The following is a 25,647-nucleotide window of genomic DNA, read 5'->3' on the forward strand; positions in this document are numbered from 1 at the left end:
TATTTTACACTTGCCCACATCAAAGCTAATGTTTCTCCTTGCTGCCCACTCAGTCTTTCAAGATTTTCCTGTGAGTTATCCTCAGCACTCTGGTGCACTACTCTTCAGAATAGCTGGAGCTATCTGCAGACATGCCACTCTACCCTGCCTTCTAGAACCACATCCTTTTTAGCATGGAATTTCTTTTTCTTTTGAGAGTGGTCTGGGAACCACCGGCGGCACAAGCATTTAGAACTGCTGTTAAAATTACCAATTGCTGGGCCCACTCCAGACCTACTGAGTCAGAATCCCTGGGGTGGGATCCAAGATTTTACATTTTTAACCAGCTCCCTAGGAAATTCTTATATTACAACCAGGTTTGCGAAACCCTGATTTATGAATATGCTAACTAACCAGATCCTAAGCCAATACCTAATCCTAGAGGATTTCGATGATTATCCACCATCATCTAGAAATGCATTTGTTTATTCCTAATTTTTGTTTTCTATGTGTTCATTTTCTGTCTACTTCAACACGTTTTCTTCTCTTCATTTTTCATCACATGAAAGGTCAATTTTTTAAAAAAGTACTCTTGGTACAGAATATTTTCAAAGCCTTTGTCTGAACAAGAGAAGAAGTTGCAAAATTCTGAGCAAGCACCAGGAAAAATCATCTTTGATCAGTTGGTTGTAACCTACAACATGCTACAGAAGGGCCAGACGAAACCGGGAGCTTAGGCCTGGGGGTGATCAGCCAGGAACACCCAGTCCTAGCAGACCAGGCTCCTAGAACTTTCAGCCAATAAAGCTTATGGTCGCCCCCCGCAAAAAAGGATAACCTAAATAAGTTATTTCAGTGGTTATTCTTTACTAAGAAATGCATATATTCTCTCAAAAATGTGATACTTGGGTTAGTCAGGTATTTTCCATATAGAAACCACACTCTCCGTTCCTCAAAGTGTTGTCCTTGCACTTTTAACTTTTTAAACTTATTAACAAATTTTTATATTAAAATATTTAATTGTGGCTGGGCACAGTGGCTTACACCTGAAATCTCAGCACTCTGGGAGGCTGAGGCGGGAGGATCACCTGAGGTCAGGAATTAAAGACCAGCCTGGTCAACATGGTGAAACCCTGTCTCTACTAAAAATACAAAAATTAGCAGCTGGGCATGGTGCTCATGCCTGTAATCCCAGCACTCTGGGAGGCCGAGGTGGGCAGATCACGAGGTCAGGAGATTGAGACCATCCTGGCTAACATGGTGAAACCCCGTCTCTACTAAAAATACAAAAAAACTAGCCAGGGGTGGTGGCGGGTGCCTGTAGCCCCAGCTACTTAGGAGGCTGAGGCAGGAGAATAGGGTGAACCTGGGAGGCAGAGCTTGCAGTGAGCCGAGATGGTGCCACTGCACTCCAGCCAGGGCGACAGAGTGAGACTCTGTCTCAAAAAACAAAAAACAAACAAAAAAATTAGCCAGGCGTGGTGGTGTGCGCCTGTAATCCTAGCTACTCAGGAGGCTGAGGTAGGAGAATGGCTTGAACCCAGGAGGTAGAGGTTACAGTAAGCTGAGACCACATCATTGCCTAGCCTGGGCAACAAGAGTAAAACTCCGTCTCAAGAAAAAAAAAAAAATTAAATTGACAGATAAAAGTAGTGTATATAATTCAAGGTATACAATGTGATCACCTGACATATGTATATATTGTGTAAAGATGATCACAATAAAATTAACGTGTCTGTCACTACCCATAGTTATCATGTTCTGTGAGTTTGTATACATGTACAGTTAAGACACTTAAAATCTGCTCTCTCATCAAATTTCAAGTAAGCAGTGCAGCATTATGAATAGTCACCATGCTGTACACTAGGTCCCCAGAACGTATCCATCTTATAACTGAAAGTTTGTACCCTTAACCAACAGCTCCCCCTTTGAATTTAGTGATTCTCTCCTTTGTGGAGAGAATCAGAGGGCTTCAGATGGAAGTGACTCACAAATCCAAATTCTTTAGGTTTCTTATGGAAAGAAATCATACTGGTAACAGACCAGATTTTCAGCAATGTTGCCAGTTAAATGATGGGTTTTGGTCAACAGCTCCAAAATTGATGTTGCCACTGACTCTGTTTCATGTGCAGCTTCCAACATTGCCAATTCAAAAGATATGTTGATCCTTTCAATGTAAGAACTCATGCAAACTTACATGTAGGCTCTTTCTATGGTAATACGATATGGGGAGTAGAGAAGTGGCCAAGAACAAGGGCTTTAGAGCCAAACTACCTGGATTTGATCCTGGTCACTCTCTGTGTTTCAGTTTCCCCCACTACATAAATGAGGGTAATAACCTACCACACAGACCTGTGTATAAGATGGGTTATACACTTAAAATAAATGGTTAAATAATGTCTCATGCACTAGAAGAGGCCAAGACTTGAAAGTTGTTATCATTCTTCTGAAATTCTGGAGTGTATTCTTGGCACTGTTATAAAGCTTTGGTTGAGCTGCTCTGTACTTAACCACTTCCTCTTTTTGTTTTCTTATCTTGAAACGCATCATACATAACAAAAGAATGGACATAATTAATGTATATGTACCTTGTAGAGAATAACAGTAAAATAAATATTTGTGTACCCAAACAGCGTAAGGTACAAAGTTATAACAATAAATGTCCAGAGCCACTGTGCTCTTCAATTATCTCATCAAACCCCCTTCACCATCCTAATTGGTGTTTTTGTCATTCTTTTGCTTTTCTTTATAGTTTTACTATATATTTGTTCATCACTATTTTTAAAGAAACTTTGCAAGTTGCTCAAAAATTCTCTTATGGCCTATTTTCTTGTTTACACTCCCCATCTGCCACCTTTTTTAGGCTTCCCTGCTCTCCTCAACCAGGGAACTGCTGCAGATTTAGAAAGATGTTTTAGTCTCCACATTGGCCAAACTGCTTTTCTTCACTGATTAGTTTTTGAAGTCTTCCCCCACACTTCCCCCACCCTTCCCCAAGACCTCATCATTGTGATCCTGGGTAGCTAATGATAAATGATTTTAAAGTTTCCAGGTTTTCTTTTAATATCTATACTTCCTATTTTTTTTCCTAAAAGCTGAATTTTACTGCATTTTCTCTTAAATCTGTCAAAACACGGGGTAGAGTTCTCTGGTTTTGCTGAATTCACTGGAATGGTCCAGCTTCCGGCCAGGGACTGTCCTCTGCAGCACACTATTTCATCCATAGATAATGTCCGGGGTGTTTTCTACTTACTGGGGCCAAAATGTGCTGAACTTTTTGGGTTCTGAGTTTCATGTTTCAGAAACAATCATATGACCTACGTACATGCCTTACTCCAGCCAAGAGGACTTTTCTCAAACCCTGGATCACTAAAATTCCATTTTCACAGCCTTATCTAATTTTTCAGGTGCATTTACAGATAATGCCCCACATCACTAGGTCTGGCCCAGTGCCCCACGGTGTGGTCCTGATGTTGGCCCAAATTACTGAGGAAAGGGAATTTCCACATTCCTAGCTTGTTCCTTTATGCTCTTCATCCTGTGTAAGAACCAGTGTAAAACAATATTTTACAAACATAAAAGGGACCTTTGAAACTTATTTGATGTGTTAGCCTGCCAAAGGCAAAGTCATCACGAAGTGGACCGAATGAGGTTGTGGTTAAACTTCCTCAATTTTCTCTTCTAAATTAAAATCTAGTGCCAGACACCAAAAGGTTTCCTCTTCCTGTCCCTCTTTTATTAAGTAGTTACAATGGCAATTAAAAAGACCCCTTTGGTCATTCCACACTACTCTCTACTCCAACCACTTCCTATAATCTAATGATGCTATCTTGGCAAACTAATATTATAAAGATTTTTTATTAAAATAAATAGGTTTTAGAAGAAACACTCAATCAAGTATCTCAGTGGATGTGTTTCCTGCAAAGGCAATGGCAGCACAGAAATTAAAAACTAATTCATCCTTCTAGACAGCTGCCCACCTTGCTCAATAAAGACTCTACTATTCATTCCTTATGGCCATTGATTTTTGCAAGTAATAACAGAGGTTGAGAAGAAAAGCGTAAGCTTTTTTACAGATGGATGTTTCTATCATTTGCCAACAGCTTCTGCATTGTCTATGTAATGGGGAAAATGTAAAAATTTATCTTGTGCTAAAAGGATAACTATTTCAGAGTAAAAGTAATGCTTTTGGGCAATAAAGATAACTATTTCAGTGTATTATATTTTCTTTTGGGCTATGAAGTCAGATGATGACTGATTTAAACCACACAAATATCAACAGTTAGACTATTCTATTTGTCTCCTCTTTAAGAAAAAAAAAAGTTTCAGAGAAGAGTTTGCATAATCCCAACCCTAACTCTTCAGCCACTATATAAAGTATCTTAAATAACTATGACTTAGAGATACTGGAAAAATATTTGGATTCCTCTGATTTATGATTTTTACATGCAATGTTATAGAGAACACTTCAAAAAATCAGCTGTTGATGTATACGTGATGCTCTGACCCCAAGATACAATCAATATTATTTAATGGAGACTAATTTACCCACACGGCAGACCCTTCTTAAACAGGGTATATCCAGAAGTTATTGGGCTAAGTGCGGCAAGAATGCATGAGTCAGCTGGTGGTTAGCACCCAACTGAGCAGCCCTGGGCCAGATTAGGATGGATACAGCAGATGAAAGAACATGACAGGTTCATGCTCAGTTTTCATTTGAAATGCATATGCCACAAAGATGTCGCTTCTTTCACAATGGTGGAGCAAACTCTCCATGTTGGAAATGACAAAGAAGGGACAAAAGAAAGATAACATGAGGACCTTCTAAGCCATCAGAATATCAGGAAACAGAAGCAGACATAACCATCTACTTGGTGCCTCCATTCCACAGAATCCTCCAAAAGGAAGTCAAGAAAGTCCATCGTTGCCACAGAGTCCTGAGCAATAATTCACCACTACTGGCAACATCTGATTAGATGAGCTGCTTACTAATCTCAGCCACTGTGGTCTTGCAGAATTGCAGCTTATCTAGCTTTCCCGTGCTTATGTGATCCAAGGAACCTGATGATGGCTGCATAACACAGGCAAAAAACAGATGGGGAATAAGTTCAAGGTCTATTCTCTGGGACTGTCACCTTTACCAAAGGTGTCTGATCCCACTGGTGGACCTCCATTCTGGGTCCCTGATAAGTTTATCTGCTGATAAAAGTCCCTACATGTACCACCTACTCTTTTCCTTGATGAGGAAGCCAGGAGTGGCAAAAATGACTGAACCAACAATGTCTCCAATGTGCCTGCAGTAGAGCCCCAGGGTGGCTCTCTTGTGTTCAATCTATTTTATACAATCATTTTTAAAAACACAAAAATAGACTTGTAGGCTGGGAGAACTATCCATCTAGTCCTTTGGGAGAGTCTCTCAAGTTAACAGGCTACCATTGTCATGAAAAGGCCTCATGACCAGCCATTCAAGGGCTGCCTGCCCACAACTGCTCTGAAAGACACCCATATTCCAGATACTAGAAACACTCTGCTGCGACTGGTACCCGACAAACCAACAATGAGCAATGAGAAGCTGAAGTTTAACATGTTAGCCAATGCCAGGGAACACTGCAAGTAACCAAAGGGCTTCATCGGGGAAAGAGAACTGAAAGCTTTGCCTGAATTCTGCTTCACAGTCCAATGTGTTCACTGGGCATAAAATAGTAAGGGCTAGGTAATATGTTCTTTGGGAGTGTGATAGGCAGAGTTCAGCATCATGAAGACCTCACAAAATTCAAATCAAACAAAAGGGCAGAGTCATGCTTTCTTGGCAGTTGGAGACTGAGAGGTGACATGAATGTCGCATGTTGCTCCTGAGGCATTTTAATCAGTGTCCCCTATGAACTTCCTTTAGCACTGAATAGAAAGGAAAGAGATTCTGAAACAGAGCCAATCTGACAACACTGCAACACTCAGTGTATTTGCTGAGCCCAAACTGCTGAGAACATGTGGTGGTTGGATGGAAACCAGACAGTTAAGCAACGGTCGGGTGAGATGCTGAATGGAAATGAATATAAGCTGGGTGGGTGGACAAAATCCTCTAAGGGCACAATGGCACAGCTTCCATTGCCATGGCCCAGCCATCAGGTGTGGGGGAAAGCAACAGTTGGACGATCTTAGCCAGTGGAAATGAGACAGCTTCTTTGAGTGGACTCTTTGAAGCCTTCAAGGAAAACAGCAGGCAGCTTTGGCCCATGAGCAATAGGCTCTAGAGACAGAGAGTGGTGAAATAACAAGCCAAAGAATAATTTACATGAGCATGGAAGGTCCTGGCTGTCAAATTGCTTGGGTGAGCCACACAGAGTTCACGTGTTTGACGACAGAATCAGATTCAGAAAGATCTCGGTTAAGCTGGATGGACCAACCCAGCAAAATGAAATGTAATAGAGATAAATGGGTATTATATGTAGGTCCAATGATGAAACTCCAAGAACATATATATGAGTGGCAGCTTAGCAGCCCTGTGTGTCTAAAACTTAGAAGTTATAGTTGGGAGCCATCAAAGAAGCAAGTTGATGAAAAATTAATTTGATTAATAATGTAAAACAAAGAAGGAGACAACCCTGTTTACAGACCAAAGGCTCCAGATGTCATCCATTAGGAAGGTGTTCAAAGAAGAGGAATACAGGAAGTCACTGACAGCATTTATTCCGGGGGTGTGAGAACTCAAGGACATAAAGGCTTACATTTTAAAGGGTTATGATGTGGACAAGAGATTGAAGTTATTCTATAAGCCTATTATGGATAAAATGAGAAGCAATGATGGACACTACAGTTCAATCATTCATTCAACAAATATGTTAAGCTCCTACGATGTGTCAGCCATTGTGCTAGGCAGCCCGATTGGCAGTTAAGGAAAACTTTCGCAATACTCAAGCTTTCCAGAAATAAACAGGGCTACCTTCTGGACACAATTCACACATGGTTGCTGAAGAGAGTAAGGCAAAAGTTGAAATTTCAGTCTTAGACTGGTTGGAAATGGAATGCATGCATCTTAAGCTCCCCACCTCAGAGAGGTTTACAATCATCTGTGAGTTACACTATGTACCTCTCTTTTTCAGTTCTTCCACATTTCAAGAGAGATGCTAACCAACTCCACATGGTGTTCAGTAGAAAGCAGCCAAAGCCAACATTGGCAAATTTAAATTGAAATGAATGGCATTTTAAAGAGAATACTGGGTTTCCCATAGACTCTCCAGGAGACCTGCAAAAATAGGCTTGAAGACCTCATCATCAGAAAAAAAGCCCAGCCATGCACTGCAGAGCTGGTCTGGGACGACGCCTCTGCAGCGAACCATGAGCTCACATCACTGTCAAGGGACGCTGGATGGTGCTACAGGAAAACAGCAGCCTGGAAACCAGAAGAAACTGCCACCATCATCACCCTCCTCACTGGAAGGGATTCCAATCATTCTCCAGGTCTTTGTGTCACCAGCCTCCACAAGAAAGTCTGGTGAGGCTGAATCAGACTGGAAGAGTCTGGGTCACGCTGGGTCATGGCTCTAAGTCCTGGCTTCAAGGCGGGATAAAAAATCAAGCACTGGCGGTCGGGCGTGGTGGCTCACGCTTGTAATTCCAGCACTTTGGGAGGCCGAGGCAGGCGGATCACCTGAGGTCAGGAGTTCGAGACCAGCCTGGCCAACATGGTGAAACCCTATATCTACTAAAAATACAAAATTAGCTGGGTGTGGTGGCACGCACCTCTAATCCCAGCTACTTGGGAGGCTGAGGCAGGAGAATCACTTGAACTGGGGAGGTGGAGGTTGCAGTGAGCTGAGATCACACCACTGCACTCCAGCCTGGGTAACACAGCATAATAATAATAATAATAATAATAATAATAATAATAATAAAAAATAAATAAAATAAAAATAAAAAATAAAAAAAACAAGCACTGGCATTTTCAGTTTCTATAGGTGGGCCCTGCCTCACAAGAAAGGGGATTCTATGAGTACACTAGATGCTGAGTTTCAACACCTTAACAAAGACCAAAAACATTCAACATAAGGTGTAGCCATTCTTCTCCCACTACTCATTTAACAAAGCCCAACACTTGAAGACAAAAGGTGAGAAAATTAAAGTTAGCAACATAACTTCCCTAACTTGATGAATAGCATTTGCTTCGAAGGATCCTTCTTTAGGAAGAATTCTGATGGTCACAGTCACTCACAAATGGGGTTGACATTGACTGGGAATTGTCCCAGTGGGTTTGAGATAAGGCGGCTCTCCCCTGAATGGAACTGACAGGAGGACAAGCTGAGGAGAAACCAGGAGTTTCAGCTTGTATTACGGCAGATGAGTTTTCAGGTCATTCTGCTGGGAAACTAAGTGACCAGGAATAACTTCCTAGTATCACAGGAGTAAGAGAAACCTCCAGCAGTCAAGAAATCCACCACACAGTCTCCCCAAGGCCTATATTTCTATATTAAAAAAAAAAAAAAAAACATAGCTGGCAGCCCCCTTTCTCCAAAAGCCTTGAGAGAAAGTCATTTGATAAGTGAGAACTGCAGGTGTTCGGAATGTTCCTTGCTAATGTCTTGTTCTTTCTCTCCATATCCCCCCAATCCCCGGGAGTGAAAGCAGAGTGGAGTGGAGGGGCTCACCATCTCTTCCATCCATTTCCCTGTGGTTTCCAGAAGACAGTGCTGAGGTCAGAGCCAGGATAACCTCTCTGGCTACACAGTGACGCATCCACTGGGGCATTCCAGACTCTGGGTGACACTTCATTACGCCAGACTTCCTCCAGGAAGTGTGAGCAGGCTAATCACGCCCCTGGGCGAGGCGGGCACGTGGAGGGAGAGATTAGCGTTCCCCCACAGCTGTCAAGCTGGGCCCCTCTCATTAACACCCACGACTCTCTTTCTTTCCTTTTTTTTTTTTTTTAGGTCCTTTGACGGCAGCTCGTGTACTTGAAGTATGTCACTGAAAAACGCACAGATGGGATCTACCAGATCATGAGAATGCTTTCACAGCTTTTGAAAGAGTGCTGGGTTTCTTTCCTTCAGAAGAAAAAAGAAATGCTGTATTCTCAGGTCTACCCATTTTCCACTCTCTTCCTGCTTTAGAAATAAACTATTGCAGAAGCCAATGTAGTAATAACCAACAGGGCAATAACTAAAATCTAGATCTTTTGATTTTTTTTTAATGCTAAAGTAGCTAATTGTATCTGCTAATCATGTCTTCATAGTTCACAGAGAGGGTACAGCATCTGAAATATATTCAACATTAGCTGCAACCTACTGAAATCCAACATCAGGCCGGGAGGGGAGACAGCAGGCCAGGCGAGCGAGTGTCTGACAGATTGTGCCCTGAGGGAAGATGTGTCCCAAAGCAGGAGGAAGTTGCTCAGGGAAGGGATCTTTTATCTTGCTATAAAAGTTCTGGACAAGGGTCTGGGTGCTTTAACATGGAAGCAGTAAGACAATGAGGCCTGGAGGAAGAGGACCAAGAACTGTGAGTCTGTCTCGGATGATCCAGAGGCTTTTTGAGCATTTTAACCAGTATCATCTATGATCCTCTGAACAATATCAAAGAGGAAAAGAGGATAAGGTTACTATTCTCTGGGTGGTCACTGTGTTCTCTTTTGTATGAAGCTGTCTCTTTGTGCATAGAAGAAAAGGAGCTATGCCAAGGCCCAACAGTCCTATTATTTTCTGTTTTAGAGATAGGGTCTCGCTCTGTCACCCAGGCTGGAGTGCAGTGGTTTGATCACGGCTCACTGCAGACTCGACCTTGTGGGCTCAAGCGATCCTCTGGCCTCAGCTTCCTGAGTAGCTGGGACTACTGATGTGCACCACTGTGCATGGCTAACATTTTTATTTTTTGTAGAGATGGTCTCGCTTTGTTGCCCTGGCTGGTCTCGAACTCCTGGCCTCAAGTGATCCCTCTGCCTCTGCCTCTGCCTCCCAAAGTGCTAGGATTACAGGTGTGAGCCACCGTGCCCAGCAAACAGTCCTATTTTTAATATAAGTTCCTAGTTCTGGACTTCCAGGTGGCACCTGCCACACCTACTGCACCCAGTCAGCTTAGGGCTTTCACCAAAAAAATCTGACACCAAGAAAAGCGGGTCCCCAGGAAGCGGTAAACTACAAGAAATGGACGGGATTTGCAATCTTCCCAGAAAATACCCAACAGCATTTATCTGTAAAGACTTTGCTGCTGATAATATTACAGTACTTCTTAAATCTCAGCAAAGGCCTTCCATAAAAAGAAGGCATTCACTCAATAAACATTTACTCAGCACCTTCTATGCCCATGTGTCAGCTGTAGAGCTGGAGGGTGGGGGTGGGAAGAGAGGAGGGAATCTAAGATGATTTGATAGGCTCGCTACTGCATAGAACCCCATCATTTAAAATGCCACTAATACAATCTTGGAAATTATGAAGTTTGGGGACTTCACAGGACTTTGACTGATAAGTAATATTGAAAAATAATTACTCAAACATGCCCATTTATCTCCAGCCCAGTACAGCCACTATTGTGCGTCCTTTCAAGGGACATCAGGGCAGCAGCACAGCTTACCCTGGGGTCCCCCTGGGCACCCCAGCATAAGCAGTGATGTGCTAGACAGCCACCAAAACCAAAGTATAACTACAAAACCTTGTTCCAAAGGGTTCTGGGGGAGATTCAGGGGGAAAAGTTACATATTCTTAAAATTTTGATCACTGGTGGATGCACTCAAAATCCTGCTCTTCTCTGGGAGCGATTTTCATGCTGTTCCTGAAAGCTCAGAAAGAATAGGAAAATTTTATGTTCAGTGATAGATGGGCTAGACAATGGGAAACCTGCACTGAACCAGACACAAAGGACCTAGCAGAGGTGACGCCTGCCAGGGCTGTGCACCTGTGTTTCCTTAACATCTGCTGGGACCCCATTAGTAAGTTTCTATGAAAATGAATTAGACTGTGTGCCTTCTGGTCTTGCGGGTCAGTCTCTTACCTCAACACCAGTGTCTGAACTGAACAGAGCTTGGCAGATTCTGATTCCCCCTCCAACCTCTGCCCCAGCCTTAGCCTCTGCACCATCTTCTTGGCTCTGCTCTGGTGTCAGGAGCAGCAAACAGTGCAGTCTGCAGTTAGCACCTTGTCACTGCTCAGCCATAAGCCCCTAGACGTGACAGAATTACTCCTCTGAGATTGAGGCTGTAGTTGGCTATCTGGACAACCTGCATCAACTTCCTACACCCACAACCCTCTGGACCTAGATTTCTACCCTGACTCTGCAGCCACGTAGGCCCCTTCCCCACAGCAGGTGGAGGAGAGGGCAAGGTCATGTCTGCCCTCTTCCATCATGTGTGAAACTGGCTGAGAAAAGCGGGGTTGTACCCTCAGCATCCTAGCTCTGAGAAGAACCTGCACCAGCCCTGCTGGATCTACCCATGCAGACCCCACCCCTGTGATCTCCTGGAGAGCTACTTCCTAGATAAGGAGGTAAAACTCATGGAGAAGATGGGTGCCCACCTGACAATCCTCTGCAGGCCAGCAGGCCCCCTGGCAGGCTGGGCAAGTTCCCCCAAGAAAATAATTGAAGGCACTTTGTAACCATCTTGGACCCTTCTCTCTTAAGCTGTGGAAAAAGTGCAGACAATATAGCTTTTTGTTGGAAAAAAACAGCAACCATAAGAAACAGAATTTGACAATTTATCAACTACACCAAGAAGCCACTCTGTGGTCCCTCAAATTGATTTAAATACCATAATATGTCATTTAAAATGTGGACTCTGGAACTGGGCTGCCTGAGTTCAAGCCTCTTTGTATCTCAGTTTGTTCTCCTATAAAATAGGCAATATAAGATTATTCTCCTCATAGGCATTTTGTAATTACAGATTGCACATCCCTAATCTGAAAATCTGAAATCCAAAATGCTCCAAAATCTGAAACTATTTGAACACCAACATGACACACAAGGTGAAAATTCTACACACAAGCATTAACACAAACTTTGTTTTGTGCACAAAACTACTAAAATATTGTATAAATCACCTTCAGACTATGTGTACAGGCATATATGAAACATAAATGAATTTCATGTATAGACTCAGGAACCATCCCCAAGATATCTCATTATGTCTATGCAAATATTCCAAAATTCAAAAAATATATAAAGTCAGAAACACTTCTGGTCCCAAGCATTTCGGGTAAGGGATACTCAATTGGTTTCGGATGGACAGCAAAGTGCCTGGCATCTACTGAGTGCTCATCTAACCAAGTAAATATGAGCTATCATTATTTCTATTAAATATTTATTTAAATCACGGAACTATGCTTGGTTCTATTTCTCACCTCAATGAATTCTCTATGATCCATCGCGAAAATAGATTAAAAACCCAGATAAGGTGATAAAATTACTGTTCACCTAAGGAAAGGCTCATAAAACTGGCTTATTTTGCAGATGTTTCTTCAAGGCTGACTCTTAACAACTAATCGAAGGCCGTATTGTGAACATTGTTACTACACATGGAAAATATATTTTGAGAAATAAATGATAAAAGTTGTAATGTGAACCCTGAAATCATAACAATTAACTTTAAAAACTCTGTCACATTAAAATCTACTGGTCTTAGACACTGGGGACTCCAAAACATGGGAGGAATGGAGGGGGAAAAGGGTCCAAAAACTACCTGTCAGGTGCTATGTTCACTACCTGGGTGATGGGTTTAGTTGCAACCCACACAATACATGACAAAGCCCTCAGTATCACACAATACATCTATGTAACAAATTTGTACATGCATCCTGCCCTCCCAAATCTAAAATAAATATAAAAAGGGAAAAGTGGGCCAGGTGCGGTGGCTCATGCCTGTAATCCCAGCACTTTGGGAGGCTGAGGTGGGTGGATCATGAGGTCAGGAGATCAAGACCATCCTGGTAACATGGTAAAACCCCATCTCTACTAAAAATACAAAAAATTAGCCAGTCGTGGTGGTGGGCGCCTGTAGTCCCAGCTACTCGGGAGGCTGAGGCAGGAGAATGGCATGAACCCGGGAGGTGGAGGTTGCAGTGAGCCGAGATCGCGCCACTGCACTCTCCAGCCTGGGCAACACAGCGAGACTCCATCTCAAAAAAAAAAAAAAAAAAAAAAAAAGGGAAAACGGCACATGGCAAGAACATCTCTAATTAGTGATCACCGTAGAAATGCCTTAAGAACTTGATCCATATATGTGCTTTTGCCTCTGAGTCCAAACCTATTTGTCTAAATACCACATTTTGGGAGTTTGGGGGAACAGATTTCAAACGATGTGGAGACAAGCACTGAGAAAGACCACCACAGAGCGAAGGGGATCTATACACACAGACAGGCAAGCACAGTGTTGTCTCTGCCTAGGAACAATCCCTCCAACCCGAGGAGAAATCCTAGGTCTCATTTTAAAAATATCCTTCAGAAAAGAAATACCTCTTCAACCCACACAGTTCCCAATGAAGTCCTATGCAAAAATGCTTCTTACAAAAATAAAATAAAATAAAATAAAATAAAATAAAATAAAATAAAATAAAATAAAATTTATCGGTCTATCTTGAGCTCTAAATGAATCTTTTACACATGAATAATTTTTTAACATCATGCATCGGTCATTTAGAAAATCTTGGTTCACTGAGTTGTACTGATTTTGCAATATAACATCGTTCATTATACGACATTTAAAAAGCCCACATTCATTAACATTACCACTGATCTCATCAAAAAAATTCTTTAAGTATTTAAGTTAAAGTAGTTGTCAAACTCCTGGTGGCAGATACAAGTTTTCTAAGTTCTAATTTTTGCTTAAAAGCTCAAATTTTATCATTAACAACAAACACTGTCAGTTGTTTTCCTTGAAGTGACAAGTTCACTCCATTCATTTCTGGGAAAAGGTCTGTCAAATACTCAAGTTTGAAAATCATAGTCTGTCTCTTACCCATTCTTTAAAGTGAAATAGTGTTTCGTGAATAAACGTAGCTTTTCTCAAGACAACCATCCTACCTGAACAGGCAGAAGCGCCTTGCACATATTTCATATTTATAGAGTATTAGAAAGCACATACTCCACTGTTGAGATTTAATAAAATTGGTAACGTTTGTTACTTCATCAAGGACATTCTTAAGTGAAACTGGCATTTTTTAAAAACTGGGTGTTCGTGGCAGAAAAGAACAAAATGACTGCTAATAGCGTTTGGTAGCACCGCTTTGATTCCTGCTAAGTTGCCTGCAGTACTGTCATCCATTGTTTTTACATCTATCTAATGTATTATCAACACAGTGAAAAAAGACAAACAACATTTTTGTATTATTATGAAGATAGTTTTGATCTTGGGTATGCATTGTAGGCATCACTGGGCTTTCAAAGACTCTACCTGGAAAATCACTGCCTTAGGTAGACTCCTTCACCTCTGCATGCCTCAGTATTCTCATCTGTAAAATGGAGAGGATTCGCAGTACATGTCCTGCAGGGATGTGGTGAGGACTAACTGGAATAAATCATGTAAACAATGAAGAACAAAGCTGGCCTATGGAGATGCCATCTATGGACTGGCTATAAGGAGATCAGACATCATTTGAGGCTCTTGGTTAATCCAGGTGTGACAAAAATCACCATCTTAGTGGTTTTTTTTTTTTTTTTAAAGAGCATTTATCAGCTATCTCCACTGCATTTATCAATTATGTCCACTGAGAACATTCCTGGTTATTTTCCTGAGATTGTTAGAGACACCAACAGGTCAGAGACTCTTTCAAATGCCAAAACAACTAGACTTCTCTTTAAGAAGCTGGGCCGGGCGCGGTGGCTCACGCCTGTAATCTCAGTACTTTGGGAGGCCGAGGTGGGCAGATCACGAGGTCAGGAGATCGAGACCATCCTGGATAACAAGGTGAAACCCCGTCTCTACTAAAAATAGAAAAAAAAATTAGCCGGGCGTGGTGGTGGACGCCTGCAGTCCCAGCTACTCGGGAGGCTGAGGCAGGAGAATAGCGTGAACCCGGGAGGTGGAGCTTACAGTGAGTCGAGATCGCGCCACTGCACTCCAGCCTGGGCGATAGAGCTAGACTCCGTCTCAAAAAAAACAAAAAACTCTACTCACTGTAATTTCCCCTGATGTGGCCTGAGAACATTACCTAGCCCACTTCTGCAGACTTCAGAGCATGTCTTCTTAGGGGCTGTCGCTCAAAAACACTGGAGGAAAAAGGTGGATGTTTATATTCATGTCCTTTTGTGTGTCTGTGTTCTCAAAATATTGTGACACCAAGAGACAGAAGAGAAATTGCCTGGTCCCTGAACCTGATGTGCAATGTCAGTTCTCTTTGGTTCAACGTGGTTTTCAAAAACGGACAGACTCTAAACAAAGGTATCTGTCCCTTTAGTCAACGAGACAGGGAACTGATTTGGGGGGTTGTTTTTTCCTAATGATACTAGGTTGAATTTTTAAAAATTAAAGCAGATGTGGATATATTAGGAAGTAAAATAAAAACTTGTGTGATTTTTTTAAGACAATTTTTTTTTTGACTAAAGAAACAGAACTTACTGAAATGTATGATTCTGGATCACAGGGCAGAAGGTTGGGGCATGGGAAGAGCTACAAGAATCTTCATTAAGAAAACTGGTGAAATGTGAATATATTCTGTGGATTATATAATAGTATTATATCGAAGTTAAATTTCCTGAATCTGAATGATTGTCTGTGTTTATGTAAGAGCTTGTCCTTGTTCTTAGGAAATACATTGAAATATTTAGCAGTAAAGGGGCATGATGTCTGCAAGTTACTCAAAAATGATTAGGAAAAAAACATTAGAGTGAGACACGGAGAAAAAGAAGTAAATATGGTAAAATGTTTAAAATTGTGGAATCTGAACAAAGCGTACATAGGAATTATTTGTATTATGCTTGTAACTTTTCTGTAAGTTTGAAATCATAAAATAATCAAAATAGAAAGTTTTAAAATGTCATTTAAAAAAAGGACAAGACATTCTTTTGAGTTTCTTGTGTCACTTATTAATGACAGTGCTCCCCAGGCAATTTGCTCCCTGCTTATCTGTTTGGCCTTGTCCTGTACCATCTCCTTGTCCAGCTCAGAGCACTGCAACCTCTGGGCCCTTGTCTCTGACCCTCAAGTGGGCCCCGATCTGCCCCCGAGGCCTGTGGTTCTGGGTGCTCCCTAGTCCTGACCACTCTCCAGGCTCTCCTCCTCCAGGGCTGCCTGTTATCACCACCTCAGAGGCCTTTCCTGATCCTCCTATTTAAAGGAGTCCCCTCACTTCCACTTCTGTCACTCTTTATAACCACTTCTATTTTATTTATCTTTCAAATAATATTACCACTGCCCAAAATTGCTTTATTTACAGTTATCTATCTTCCTCCAACGGATTATTCTCCATCTGGGTAGAGACCTTGCATTTTTGGTCGCTACCACTTGTGCTTGGAACATTGTAGGCACGCACTAGATATCTGTTAGCTGAATGAATGAACAGATGTCCCCAGGATCTGGCAGTGGGCATTCAAGCTCTTCCTCCACCAGGGGTACCGGGCATGGCAAGTACTCAATATAGATGTGTTGATTGAATGACAATATGTGAATGAGTGGATAAATTAGAGAAAGTTTCTAATTCTAAAAAGGACTAGTTCTGGAAGGCCGGTGAGCTCAGGGATTATACAGAGAAACCCACATGCAGCCTGGCTCAATATGGTCTCCCAGGCATGCACTTTGACATTTACCCTCCAAACAGCCCCAGTCTGGCTTTTGTTCCATTGCTCCACAAAAGCCGTCCCTGCGAAGGCCATTCACGATCTGCATGTTGCTGAATCCAACAGGCTTTTCCATCTTTCCCTTCCATGTCACTCTAAGCAGCACTTGACAGAGTGGGCCCCTCCCTCCTCCTTCAGTGACTATTCCTCAGGCTTCTATGGCACTGGCGACTTCCAGTTTTTTCCTGATTCTCACTCTCCTCTGCCAGCTCCTCTCCAATCACTTAAGATCCCTAGGGGTTACAAAGAACCCAGTCCTGGGCCTCCTCCACTTCTCACTCCATGCTCATTCCCTAGGACATGCTATGAATCCCGGTGGCTTTGAAGACCATTTGTATTCTAAGTTGAGTCCTGAATGTGCATCTCCAGCCCAGATTTGCTGGCTGACCTCCAGGTACCTTTATCCAACCGCCTAGCTGATACAACCATTTGGATATCTCACAGAAATCTCAAAATGTCTCAAGCTGAACTCTTGATCTTTGCTGCTAAACTTCTCCTTTTTCCATCCTTCCCGCCTCAGGGAACATCCACCTTATAAACCCCCTGGATCTGTCCCTCTCACATTCACTTCATCAGTAAGTCAGGACAATTCTGCCTCCAAAAGATATCACACATCTACGATACCCCGATCCATCTCCAGTGCTGTCACTGTATCCTAAGGTACCATCACCTCTCCCCCGGCCTGTGTCCCACTTTCCATTCTCGCTCAACTCCACTCTTTACATAGAACCCAGAGGAGTCTCTGTAAAAGAGGAATCAGATCATGTCATTCCCCTGCTTGAGATTCTCCAACGGCTTTCCATGGCCAGTAGAATAAAAACAAAAATTCTTAACATAGCCTAAGTGGTCCTATACGATCTAGTGCCTCCGCACCCTCATGCCAAAATACTTTCTCTTGGCTCACGAAGCTCTAGTAACATGGATCTTCCCTCAGTTTCCCTAAAATATAAAGACTTCTCCTACCCCAAGTCCTCTGCACATGCTGTTTCTCAACCTGGAACGTATTTCCTCCAGCTTTTCAGCTCTCTAAGTCATCCACAGGCTCTCATTCATATTGAAAGGTTTTAAGAAGGAAAATTGCTTAAAGTCGAGTTGGATTTTATAGTGGCAAAAGAGTAGAAACTGAATTGGAGTGTTGCTGGACATAAGGGCAGGTTGGTAGAGTGGGTGGAGGCTACTAACGCTGAGGGAGAGAGGAAGATAAGAAGGTCTAACCTAACAACATTTCCAGGACAGTGAGGAATACACAGATTCTTGGGAAATTCCTGTCTCCCACCATTCTTGGGAAACATTCCTTAAGGACAATCATGGGAATCAGCTGGACATGGTAGCCAGCATGGAAATGCTGAAGATGCCCTCTCAGTTTCTGGGTTGGATGAATGACTCGTCAAACAGTGAAGCCACTGAGAAGTGGGATTGAGGGGGAGATGTAATCGGTATGAAGGGCAGGAGGAAGATGATGAGCTCAGTTTGGGGCATGCATTTGGGATGCCAGGGGGCCTTCAGGTACAGATGTCTACCACCTGCTGTGATGGGGACTTGGGAAAATGCTAACAATTGGAATCACCACTATGAGAAATGAGACTGAAAGTGATTAGAAGCATGAAGAAAGAGGCTGTGAGGCCCATGGGTGGTGAAAGCCATTACAACTGATGGCAGCATAGACAGGGAACCTCCTTTATGACGAGACTGTCACTGGCACTTTATTAAAGACCATCATTCTATAGTCAGAAGTTCAGACCATGTTCACAAAACACATGAAGCCAGGATGATTATTTTTGGAATGCAATGAAAAGATTAAATGAAAACATAAAACTATTTTATGAGCATAATATACTACTTTGTTTAGAAAAATATATACTGCTTGTTTGTTACTAGTATGAAGGTTGCTAAATAGAGACTAGACACTATCTAGACTCTAGGTGTTAATTTTTTTCCATTCCAAAACAAAGTAATTCACAAAAACGTGCACTATTCATTCATGCAATAAGTATTACTAAGTCCCACTGTGGGCCAGATGCTATTCTAGGTGCTGGAGAGAGAGTAGTAAGAAGTACTGAAGGCACTAAAAAAATGCATGTTGGATGAACACATCAAATCAAATCACTCTATTATTACATCACACCCTCAACACTGCTCCCCAGTTCCACAGACATGATACTATCAGTCAGCTTACCTTGATTAGTAATCATTAAATGTTGCAGAAACACCTAACAGTTAAGTCCTATGTTGAAAAAAAATAGACATCCAATAAAATGCAAATTTGTGGTAAGCAGTAGGAGAAAACAAGAAGCGGAAAGAGGAAGGTTGCCTAACCTCGATGGCAATATTCTCTAGGTCATCCGTGAGCTTTGAGTTGTGAAGAAAAATCCAGGCAGGTCAATTTGACCTTGGAACAGAATTCTTTTGGTTGAATGTTAAGTGGCTAAATTACAACTTTGGGGAGAAACAGTTCTTGCAATGGAACGCTCTTCCCTGCCTGATTAGACTTAATCAGACTTTTTTGTACTTTAGGGTCAGGGAAAATTTTCAACCTGTAATCATGTACTTATTGGGACACACTAAGAGTTCATGATGGATTTTTAAACACCCAGAGCCTTCCAAATTAACTCAAAGTCTCATGATTTCTCCCTTTAATATGTTACTTTATAACAAGTAGATTTTAATAAAAATTAAGGGAAAAAAATTTCAGGTTTCTGCCAGGAGGCACTGACTTGTATTTCTTCCAAGTCTCATGCTCTCTGGGGGTATGCATCTACTGAATTCATAAAATAAAAACATAGTAAATGGTAAATGTAAATGTAAGAAGAGGTAAGACATTTCCATCAATTCCCTAAGAAAACTATCACCAAACTCTTGATTTGGAAATAATGAAGTCTCCCAAGTAAAAGTAAAAGGAGGGTTGGCTAGGGGATTCCCAATGCCTGCCAACAAAACCTGGTTTAGACTTTCTGTTTTAGAGCATTCTGGCCAATAAACTTCACAGAGATTTAAACAATAGCCCTTTGGATTCACTTTGGATTCCTTAAGTCCATGGACTGTCTTTCAAATATCTAAATGAAACTAGACAGAAGTTAGAAAAAAAACAACTAGATAACCCTAAGGCCACAAAATTAGGTAACTTCAGAGAGAAGATGTCAGAATTTTTTTATGTGCATCAAGTCTATACTCATGGGCAGCCCAGGAATCTGCGGGTAAGAAGCACTGAAGTGATAACTCATAGGGTTGAAAAAAATTCCGGAGCTGATCACGGTGAAGGAAACATAAAGCACGCAGTTCTAAAACTGTTTTCCAGATTGTATTCTTTAACAAAGATACCTATTATTTATGCTTTTGAAAAAAGTCAGTGACGTCCCTACACAGTTCATAATGAGTTCTGCAGATTCATGGAATTCCTTTCTTGAAATCATTTCCTTTCCCTGAACTTCTATGTTTATACCATCCATAGTATCACATCCATCTTCCAGCTTATTTAAATTCTGACTGTGAACAGGGACCATGTTTGTATCTTCTGGGCTGTGCTCATCAACTTCCTAGTAGCTCCATAAACGTGTATAACAACAATATTAATAATATTAATGAAGCACTACATTAAAAACTACAGCGTGTGTATCAGTATTTCTTCTATTTCCTTGAGGTACAGCAAGCAACCTTTGTAGAATTTCTCTATCACCTCGTGGGTAGGAGAATGAAAAGAGTTTCTCTGTCAAGATGATTTGGAGCTTTTGGATAGTTTGCTCCAAGTCAACAGGGTATAAAAGAATGGTCCTTATACTCTTGTGTATTTTGCCAAAGGCAGCAAAATAAATTAGTCATCATTTCACACGTGGCCAAGTTCACAAACCATCACATCTTGCCAACGTGCCCAAGGACCATATCTGTGCTCTGCGACCTAAATACAGAAACCCTAGTCTTAATGTCCACCACTTTCTTGAGTATTTTATGTCCTTTTTGATTACTATTAATGTCCATGGGAACAGATAAAGTAGCTACAAACTCTTTTAACAGGTATGAGTATCAGCTATCACTGTAACTTTCATTAAAATATAAAAACAGTTAAAAACCAAACAGAGCATCACTTTTTAATATTATCTAAAATAACAATAAAGGTGGTCAGATGGTTACGTGTTCATTTAATTGCTAATGAAGCCAGACCAATAAGTCAAAGCTGGATTCCCTGTAGAATATCGATTTGAAGTATTAGCAGCAAGGATCGTTTGGTAAGACAGATTTAAAATAGGAGTAAAGATTTTACTTTCCAAGGATTCATCTTTGAATTCTTGTGGGTGGTTGTTTTATTTCCAGCCTGCTAAAAACCATAATATCACCTGAAGCAAGCAGGCATGAGCCTGGAACGGGAGTGAAATGACAACGAAACATTTGTACATGTTATTAAAGCTAATGAAGCAAGACACGCACTGCCTGGTTTTGTGTCACGCGCCCCTGGAGAGCCCAACTGTGTTCTGGGGCTGGCTGTGGCATCTCCCCAGGATATGGCTCACCCTGAGGCCTCTGATTCAGCGGCAGAGCTGTTTTTCCCCTCGGGAAAGACCAAACAGACACCTGACCTTTTATAAAACCTCTAGGATGAATCACAAGTAAAGTTCTTTGGCATTCTGAGGTGGTGGGTGGAAATCAAGGCTTGACAGGCGGCCATGGGATGGGCAGCGTGGGCTGGCGCTATGGGCTATGCCATAGCGTGGAGAATCCCTCACACTAGGACCCCTGGCCTGCATGTCATCTGGCATCCAGAACTCCCACTCAATTTCCAAAAGGTGCTACCCACCCTGGAAAAAAATCTAGCCCACTGAGTAGCTGGGAAAATCCACAGCCAGGGAGACAGATGGCTCAGGAAGAAGCAATCTGGAATAATAGTGAGGGTGTGGGAGTTGGAGTGTAGGCTGGGCAAGGAGATCAGAGAGGAAAGAACGGGCATCTGTATGTGGCGACAGATGACGGAGTGCTGTTTGGGACGAGCAGTTGGAGGAGGCAAAGGAAATGGAAGTAATGTACTTATGCATAAGGGCTGTATCATAATTAGGAAAATTCCCCTTCTGTCTACCCCGCAAGTCCCACTTGGTTCAGATGGGGGCAGACAGCAGAGAGCACTTACTTCACGGAGGAAGCAGAGGCTACCCGCTATTCCAACAGGCTTTCTATTTCTGATAGAAACAAATCCAAACTGAGCTAATTTGTGTACAGCTGCAGGCAATATAAACACGGCTATTTAGAATTCTTTATAGAGTATAGGCCTTTGTACTCTATACTTCATGGAAGTTAATAAGTAGGTGTCAAACTCTGAATTAAAATTCCCAGAAGAGGACACAGCACAAAGGACAATAAAAATGATTTTTAAATAATCATAGGGATAAATAGCATCCACTTCTGACAAATGTAAGTGCTGGCATAAAATGTTATTAGGCTACAGAGATTGTCTTTTGTTCAGGAAGTATATTTTATTCTCCTGCCTCATCATTCATCATCCTAATGAGCCCTCAAAATGTAAATTAAATAGCAAAGACGGATTCATTTGAAAAGCATCTTTTCAAAAAAAAAAAAAAAGCTAGGTGTTAAACCATTTTTTCTACTTTTATTCTATATATTGTTTCATTTTTTCATTGAAAAAAAGCCCTCAGTACTTGAACACTTTATGGGGTAAGTTCATGCAATTCATATTTTCAGTAAACAGTTCATTCATTCTCCAGTACTATGGGATTGGTGATTTGAAAAGAAAAAAAAAATCGCATTTTAAAATGGTATGCCCTGTAAATGATGTTTGATCCGGAAAATCTGAGAAACCTGTGCACGCATTCACTTTTTTGTTTTATTCAGAAGTGATTTGGTCCAGGGAAACCCTCAATGGAAAAGGATTAGTGAAAATTTCAAACAGCTTTAGTTTACTGAACTGAATGCATTAATGGCTAAGCAAACACCAGTTCAACCATTAATGATAAAAGAAGAAGGTCATGAGCCAAATTAGTTGCAATTTCTTGTTATGTATTGATAAGAACATTACCCGTTCCTATGATGAATAGAGAAATCAGGGTTTTGTACTTGACCTGAATTTATGCATGAGCACACACAACAGAAGTGACTGAACAGCTCTGCTGGGGAGGCACCCAGGAAAAACACGCTGGGAAAGGAAAATAGCAGCAAATCATGTCTCATTTTGGCATGATTGGTCCTCATTTGCCTGTCTCTCTCTCTCTCTCTCTGTCTCTCTCTCTCTCCCCCTCACTCTCCCCACCCTCTCTCACTGCAACCCATAAATCATTCTTCGCATTCTTTGGCTGTTCCTGCTTATGTGAGAGAGCTCAGCTCCCAGCTCTCTGTGGGTGAACATATATAAAATGAAGACACAAGTAACTGCACTGTTGAGGTTTGCCTGATGTCCAGGGAACAGCCATTAATCTGCACAAGGGGGTTTCAAAAGCCCCACTCTGCCGAATAAATTATCGTTAACCAATCTAGGCATTCTAAAGACACTATATTTTTATGAGGTCAAATGTTGCAGAAATATCCCAGAGGGAGGGTAGAAACTATCCAGCTGTGAAAGAAGCTAGTGACAGCACTGCACAGAAGCCTGGGGGGTCCTGCAGTGGCTACAGACCGGCTGCAGCCCTGGCTGAAGCACATCCTCAGTCTGCCTGGTTCATGAGGACTGCTGCATTTGGGAAGCACTCATCCCTCACAGCAGTGCCCAATGCAGGCTCACCTCTAGAGAAGGGGCATCTCTCTTGGAAGGTCTGGCTGATGAAAGAGCATATCATGACAGACAGGAGCTCATGGTAAAGCCTGCATAATCCACTGGCCATCCTGTTCCAGTTTACTTACTCAGTTATTTTTAATGGAGAATTTTCTTTTTAATGTGACAGAACTGAACTCAATGCAAGGCTCAAGGCTGTCGTCATGACAGTTGCCCACATAAAGAAACTGTAGTCTGGGCCCAAGGCATGGCCCTAGCAATTTCCCAGTAATGCACATTTTGACGGGCACATCAATTGGTTTATGATGTAAGAACAACACTAATTAGTGAGGAAGAAGCCAATGTCCTGTGTTGATAGGGCCCGGTGCAGTTTAAGTGATGAAGTGAACGTTACTTCTAACAAAGGAAAACAAGGTATTATTCTGCACAGATATTTAACTCTGAAGAAGTGTTGAACAATGATAGATGTATTTTAAAGTGGAATTGAAGCTTCATCCACAGTTTAGGAAGAGAACTGGCTAGGATATCAATAAATTGTTTTATATTTGACCCCAGGCAGGAAAAACAACATGCAACCCAGGGAAGGGATGGTGCCTTGCTGTGAAATATGTGCATTTTAACCTTTGCAATATGTTAATAATTAATATGAATTCACACCAATACGATATCTTCATAAAAACACAGAACTCTCATGTATAAAACCTTTCAAGTATAAAAGAAATAAGCTACCCCCTAAAGGTTTTCTGAAAAAAATTCCCATTAAAGAAGGTTCTCACAGTCTGAATGTAGAGACTTTTAACCAGACCTAAAATTCTTGCGAATAAGCCCCATGCTATATGACTGACAGCACCATTAAAAACGCTAAAAAATAAAATACACGCTTCATTAGTCTCCCAGCTGAACTCAGAATCTCTGGCCCAGAATAAATCTTAGCCTTTAAGAATAAATTCTCTTCTGAATTAACATCTCAGAGTCATTAATCTTTGGAGTGACCCTTCAATTTCATTTGGAGAACTACTACATTCCTCAAAGGTCTTTTTTCTTTTGGCAAGCCATGATTTCATGGAGAGAAGGAAAATAACATGATCTTTCTTTTATCATTTCCTCATTCTCGCCCTCAGGGTGGCTTCTCTTCCCTTCCCAACTGAAACATCCTAAATCTAAAATCAACAGAGAGCCTTCTACTGAGTCAGCAAGGAACTAAAATTTAACTTTAGGGATACGTGAAAATAAAAACAAGACTAGGCAGAATTATTATTATACATTTCAGGAAGAAAGGAAGCATTATCGTGAACACAATTTTACCAAATTAAAAATGGTACAGACTTTATTCTCTATTTCAGGGGCCTTGTTTATTAAGCAGACAGAACTCTGCTTGATTATTCCATGAAGTCGCCAACCATTAATCATGCACATTTGTTTAACAGGTCAAATGAAGAGAGGAAATTTGTGTGCAGTCACGGCAAATACTGCCTCATTTTACCCACTGTGATACTAAAGGTACAGACATCATGTTGTAACTACATTAGGAGAGATTGGTCCATAAAGTAATTTGATTATAATTCCTTCTTGAGCAGACAACTATTTTTGAAAAGCAAATAACTATTTATTTTTTGATTATTTATTTTTAACTGATAAAAAGTATACGTATTTATGGGGTTACGATGTGGTGTTCTGATAGATTTATACATTATGGAATGATTAAATCAAGCTATTTAACACATCCATCACCTCACGTACTTTCGTTGTACGGCTTGAACATTTAAAATCTGCTTAGCAATTTTGATATATACATTGCTATTAACTATAGTTACCACGCTTATTTGCTTATGTATGTATGTATTTATTTTTGAGACAGACTCTCACCCTGTCTCCCAGGCTGGAGTGCAGTGGCATGATCTCGGCTCACTGCAACCTCTGCCTATGGGGTTCAAGAGATTCTCCTGCCCCAGCCTCCCCAGTAGCTGGGACTACAGGCACATAACACCACACCTGGCTAATTTTTGTATTTTTTTTTTGGTAGAGATGGGGTTTCACCATGTTGGCCAGGCTAGTCTCAAACTCCTGGCCTCAAGTGATCTGCCAGCCTTGGCCTCCCAAAGTGCTGGAATTACAGGCATGAGCCACTGCACCCGGCCTGCTTATTAATCAAGATTTTCAAAGTTAGATGTTTAATTAAAGGATAATATGTCTATACCACTCATCCAACAATT

The 25,647-nt window shown here is 41.4% G+C and overlaps 1 protein-coding gene across 20 annotated transcripts in view, besides 1 other annotated feature; it reads right to left on the reverse strand.

The window, feature by feature from the left end:
- Positions 1-25,647, reverse strand: part of AFF3 (ALF transcription elongation factor 3) — a 597,172-nt gene that overhangs the window by 313,713 nt on the left and 257,812 nt on the right. The gene's annotated exons all lie outside the window — the stretch shown is intronic.
- Positions 8,183-9,382: an enhancer, noted in NCBI's record as "BRD4-independent group 4 enhancer chr2:100483776-100484975 (GRCh37/hg19 assembly coordinates)". NCBI's record gives its function as "activates an origin of replication core promoter dependent on BRD2, P300/CBP, MED14 and CDK7 cofactors, and independent of BRD4, by STARR-seq in HCT116 cells {active_cell/tissue: HCT116}" and the evidence as "EXISTENCE:reporter gene assay evidence [ECO:0000049][PMID:35650434]".

This window comes from Homo sapiens, chromosome 2, assembly GCF_000001405.40.
Source record: "Homo sapiens chromosome 2, GRCh38.p14 Primary Assembly".
Taxonomy (NCBI): Eukaryota; Metazoa; Chordata; class Mammalia; order Primates; family Hominidae; genus Homo; species Homo sapiens.